This window comes from Homo sapiens, chromosome X (genome assembly GCF_000001405.40).
Source record: "Homo sapiens chromosome X, GRCh38.p14 Primary Assembly".
Classification (NCBI taxonomy): Eukaryota; Metazoa; Chordata; class Mammalia; order Primates; family Hominidae; genus Homo; species Homo sapiens.
The window spans coordinates 100,431,591-100,437,590 of record NC_000023.11 but is presented as its reverse complement, the minus strand read 5'-3'; the positions used below and the strand labels follow the sequence as shown (position 1 = coordinate 100,437,590).

The 6,000-nt window shown below is 40.7% G+C and overlaps 1 annotated feature.

Annotated features, from left to right (window-relative positions):
- Window positions 1,403-2,020: an enhancer, noted in NCBI's record as "OCT4-NANOG hESC enhancer chrX:99690569-99691186 (GRCh37/hg19 assembly coordinates)". NCBI's record gives its function as "activates a minimal SCP1, AML or CMV promoter by ChIP-STARR-seq in naive H9 embryonic stem cells {active_cell/tissue: H9 hESC(naive)}" and the evidence as "EXISTENCE:reporter gene assay evidence [ECO:0000049][PMID:30033119]".

Here is a 6,000-nt window from a genome sequence, read left to right as displayed (position 1 = left end):
AAAGGGAGGGAAGGGGGGTACACACAATTTTATTTTCTTTATGGTGATTATCACAGACCTGGAGTGTTCTAGAGGAAGAGCATTTAAGGCAGAGGGAACAGAAAATGTTAAGGCCCCAAGACTTCTTTATTTTGGCTAGAGTATGGGGTCTTACTATTAAAAGGGTAAGAAAAAATACACAGAGAAGGTCAGCTAGGTATCTGGCTATTGGAGTAACTGAATCTTATGCTGATTACTGCATACATTACTTCTTTTACTTGTTTTATAAATTGCAATGCTCTATAAATAAGTTTCCAAAACATTTCACCTGATTATCACAATTACCCTTCAAGTTTATTAAGGTAGATATTATTATCCTCTTTTTATCGGAGGAAACTGAGTCTTTAGATGACATGCCCACAATCACATATTTAACATGTTTGTTGGATGTGTCTCATTTTCCTCACCACGATGGAAATACCTCAAGTCAGCAACCTTAAAGTGAGGGTAATGGAAAGAACTCTGGAGGCAGCCAAGTCAGTTTCAAGCCTGACTCTGCCACTTAACTAGCTGCAGAGTCTTAGGCAAGTGATTTCACTCTCTATACCTCAGCTTCCTTCTTTGTAAAATAAGGATAGTAATAATCCATGAAGTGGTTGTGCAGAATGAAAATAATAATGTATGGAAAGCCACTAACACAGTGTTTGGCACATTAATAGATGGTCCCACCTGTGACCATCATTACAATGGATATAATAATTACAAGAAACAATAATAAAATAATAACCTTTCCTAAGGTTATATTTCTCGGGGAGCTGTTCTGTTACACGTAAGGAACCATTAGCTAGCAGATGATATTTTTTCCTGTGCCTAGAAGTGACCTCCATACATTATTACACACAAGATCATTGGAAACACAGTGATTTTGTGAGATTTGATGCAAAAGATCCTGTAAAGGCACTTAGCACAGAGCCTGGTATATAGTAGATCCTCAGTTAATGGTTACTATTATTATATAAACCATTATGTCTATCTTCCTAGATTTCCTAGCATTGTGATGGGTGCACTGGCATTCAATTAATATTGAATGAGTGAAGGAATAACTGAACTTAAAACACCAAATAATCTTGTTCAGTTGCAGTTCAAACAGAGCCAAATGAATTAATACTGGGTTTGTCTCTGGTTATTTCCTGGTATCTCCACTGTCATCTCAGCCAACTTGAGGGGGAAACCATGTATTATTGCCTTTCTTTTGTATCCTTTCCCACCCCCCATTTCCATTGGTCACTGTGATTAGTTCAATTCTTTGTAGAATGTGAGCAATAAATAAATACATGCTAAATCAATTACCAGTTCACTTGTCCAGAGGCTCATTTCTAATAGATCAAATTCCCTGACATCTCAATGACTCACCTGCATTACTGTCATTTTTTGATGTAGAGACTGAGTCTAAGGGCTTTGGAAATTTGATGATGGGATTTCACCATTCTGGTTTAAATTCATTCAATACCTGGCATATAGCAGGCACTCAATACATAGTTGTTGAGAAAAAAGAATGAATATTGAATTAATGCATCCTTCACCCTTGCCACTAGATTCTTCTTCTCCTTGTCACCATATGTCACAGCAGGGAAGTCTAAGACATTGTTTTCTTTGTTTTTCAAGTGCTTAGAGCCAAAGGCATTGATGAGAACTCCCTTAGGCAATGGCATCTTAGTTGAATGCCATTAGGCAAGTCTTTCAACAGAAGCAATTTGGCCTTTGGGTCATCTGGTGCCTCATTTTCTGTTGACTATTCTGCCCAAGGTAGCAGGAAATAATCTGCTCAGCCTAGGCTGAGTGAGCTTTCATGCCTATGGGTGCAGCCTATTTGAGACCCAGCAGGGTGGGGTCACACTTCTATCTCCAAAGACAGTAGGCCCTGAAAGTGAACTGTGACTGAAATAGAGATCTTCTTGAACTAACAGCGGAACCTGGTTAACTCCATTAGGTCTGCATCTCAAAAACAATAAATAGAATTTAGTTCTCTCCATCTTAAAAAAACAGCTATTTGTTTTCAGGATAACCGTGTGTTAGAGGCCTGGGTAAGGAGGAGACAATTCTGTTTTAAGCATGTTAGGCATGATTTAAAGGGTTTTTCTATTGCTTATAATAGGTTTTCATTTTTGCTGATTGAATTTAGTTGCTTCTGTGGCTGGTATGCAAGCTCCTGGTTGGGGGTGGGTGTGTGTGACCTTTTTAACTTTGTAGCACTTTAATGCAAATGAAATTTAAGGGTGGGGGAGCAAGCAAAACCAACCGAATGACAATGAAATCATTTTCTAAATATGTTTACAATCAAATATCTCCCTCGATAATTTGATTTGTAGGAAATGGCAGAGTGCAGCATTTTATACAGAAGCTTTTCAATAATTCATCTTCATCTCATTGATGTGCAAGCCTTTGGCTAGGTTGGTGAGTGCAATAGTGCTCTGGCACGGGGGAGAAATTCATTTGAGTTCTCAAATCGATGTACCCCTTGTCTGACCCACCCGTCTAATGCTGTTCTGGCCTGTGACTAGAGGCTTTTCAACCTTATTAGACTCCTATAGTACCCCTTTCTAGAGTACTGAGAGCATTTGGAAACAGTGCTTTTTCCTTGTTTAATTTTTTGGGGGATTTTTATTTGTATAATCCTTATTAAGCTGTTCAAATGATTAAACTCCTCTGTAGAAACTTCTAGAAAATTGACACTCCCAAGTGTTAGCTTTTGGGGGCATGGGGAAATGGAAAAGTGTGGAAAGTGGCAATTGGGAGAGGGTCCTCTACCGGTTGAAAAGATAAGCCTCTTAATAGGTCACAAGGTCAAGCAAACTTGAATACATAAATAATAAAGAGACCAAGAGACACTTGAAATGCTCCAAGCTTGAGCTAGCGTTAAAAAGTGGTCTTTTCCCTGGGAATTTGCACTCTTGTGGTGGCTCCTCACAGAGCTTGTGTAAGACAGACTCTTCCTGGCTCTTGGGTTGCGGTGGGGCAAGTCCTTTGCAAACTCCTTCCTGGAGCAGGAGGATGCAGGATAGAGGGAGGTGGTGGGTGGGGAGAAAATGGCATGGCAGCGTACCCAGTCATCTCAATTAGAATCCCAGAGTCTTCAGGCAGTAGTGTGCTGAGGCTCTGGCCCTCAGAGAAGCCAGACAGTGATTACCTCCTTTGTAATAATAGACAGGAGACATGAAGTTTGCTATTGTGCTGCTGCTGCTGCTCTGAAACTTTGTGAAGCCATTGATCTGACTTCAATGAACCATAATACTATTGATTTGGTGTCAGATCACTGGTAGGCACTTGAGTGACAGTCTGAGTGGATGTGATGTTACATTTATATTGTCCTTTTGTTTGTTTTCTAGTTGTCAAAACCTCTTGATAGAATGTGTGCTGCTAAATGCCTGTACAGTCCTTATTAGAGTTCAAGTGCCAAGAGCATGTGCTGCATCATTAAACAAAATGAGTGGCTCTTGGCCAAATTCTATTGGTTAGAAATGTATAATATTTGGTGAGCCTGATTTTCACTGACGAGCTCAGAAAGGCACAGTGTTATGCCCTCTGAAGCTGTCGAGGGTAAAAGTAAATCATCCTTCAACCCCCATCTCCACCCCACCAATCTTATTGGTAGCTGGGACTCATGCCATCTCAGCCACATTCCTGGCTGTGCTGGGACTGAGAAAGGGCTTTACTAGGCAAGAAAACCCAGCAGGTTTATAAGTATCTTGGGATATTGTAAGGGAAGTGGAGAATCAGCAGAATTAGCCTGACACATTCTTCCCGGGTTATAGTTCCAAACCAGCCTCATATTGGGCACAATATATGAAGTAGTGCCCCAGTGAGACTGTAAGGTGGGAAAAATTGAGATGTGTGAAGTTGTGGAGAGCATCCCTTAGTGAATCTCAGTCAGTCATTATTTTTATTCAGTGATTACATATTGAGTACCCACTAGACAGCAAGCATGGTGCTTAGTGTTAGGGATATAGTAGTAAACCAGAACAACATGGTGCCTACACTCAAAACACAGTTTAGGAGGGAGAAAAGGACCAAATAAGTCTAATGAATAATTCTAAATATAATGGTAGAAAAAGGAAGGCAGTGTAACGTGGTGGAAAGGATATGGACTTTGCAGTCTGGCAGATGTATGATTGAATTTATTTTTACTTATTTATTCTTTTGAGAGAAAGTCTCACTCTGTTGCCCAGGCTGGAGTGCAGTGGTGCAATCTCAGCTCACTGCAACTTTCACCTCTTGGGTTCAAGTGATTCTCATACCTCAGCCTCCCTAGTAGCTAGGATTACAGGTGCCCACCACCACGCCCGGCTAATTTTTGTATTTTTAGTGGAGACTGGATTTTACCATGTTGGCCAGGCTGGTCTCAAACTCCTGACCTCAGGTGATCCACTCATCTCAGCCTCCCAAAGTGCTGGGATTACAGGTGGTGAGCCACCACCCCGGCCACGATTGAATTTAAATTAGCCGCTTGTTTTTAAACAAATTACTCCTTTTCTTTGAGCTTTCATTTTCTCCTCTGTAAAATGGTGACAATAATAGTACCTATCTCAAAGGGTTGTTGTAAGGATGAAGTGGGAATATGCATATAAAGGTCCTAACACAGTGCCTGACGCTAGTTGGTACTTAGTTGTCTAGGAAGGAAGAGTGGAATGGTGGGGGGTGGTAGGGGGTGGGGAAGCACACTGACAAGTGTATGGAGGATTATAAAGAAAGTTGAGGGTTAATGGCCAATTAGGAGACTGTTGCAGTAATACAAGTGAAAAATGATGTTAGCCAAGGCTAGAGTGGCAGTGTGTGAATGGAGAGAAAGGGACAAATGCTTATGTTACGTAGGTAGACTGAATAAAGATGGGAATGAGGGAGGGGCTAATCTCCATGTTTCTGGCTATGAAAATTGGGTGGATAATTACTCTTTTTATGGATTAAGGAAAAAGAGAAGAGGATTTGGGGTAAATTAACTATGAAATGTCTATGATATATCCAAGTGTATATGAGATACCCAGTAAGTATGCAATTGGATATAAAAATGCAGAGCTCAGTGGAGAGGTGAGGCCCAGAGATCCAGATTTAGAGGTCCTCAGCACAATGATTAAAATTGTAGTTATGAGCTATCTCATTGTCTTAGTCCGTTTGGGCTGCTATAACAAAATACCTTAAACTGGGTAACTTACACACAACACAAATTTTATCGATTTAAGGTTCTGAAGGCTGAGAAGTCCAAGATCAAGGCACCAGCACACTCGGTGTCTGGTGAGTACCAATTTCTCATAGATGGCACCTTCTTGCTGTGTCCTCACATGGTGGAAGAACAAACAGGCCCCTTGTGCTTCTTTTATAAGAGCATTAATCCCATTCATGACAGCTTCACTCTCATAAGCTAATCACCTCCTACAGGCCCCAGCTCTTAATATTATTGAATTAGGGATTAGGTTTCAACATATGATTTTTGGGAGGGACACAAACACTCAGACCGTAGCACTTGTGAAGAGAGAACGGAGAGAAGAGAGTAAAGGACAGATTTGTAGGGGCACAATTTGGCAGCTTCTTACTCCTACGTTCACTATTCTTCCCACTTTTCCAGAGAGGGATTTATGGAGTTCGTTATGTCTTTTCTAGAATTTTTCTTTTGTATAACTGACTTATAAATCTCCTATAAAATGATCAGGTAGCTGTTTGTATTTTTTTTAACAGATGGGCACACAGAAGTGTAGGGAACTATCATGAAATTGTCAAGGTCATTCAGTTGGCACCAAACTCAGGACTCCTTCTTGCCCACCTGCCCATGTCAATTCCTTCTTCATGATCCTTTTTGAAATGGAACTGTCCAGTCTTTTGAGTATGGTTAAGGTATTGTGAATCACACATGCCTTGATCTCCTCGTCTATAATGGCATGGGTTGTTATTTAGGGCTATTCATGTTGGGAGGGGAGGGCAAAAGGTAGAGAATGGGAGAGCTCTATTTTTGAGTATGAATTGTCACTGTAG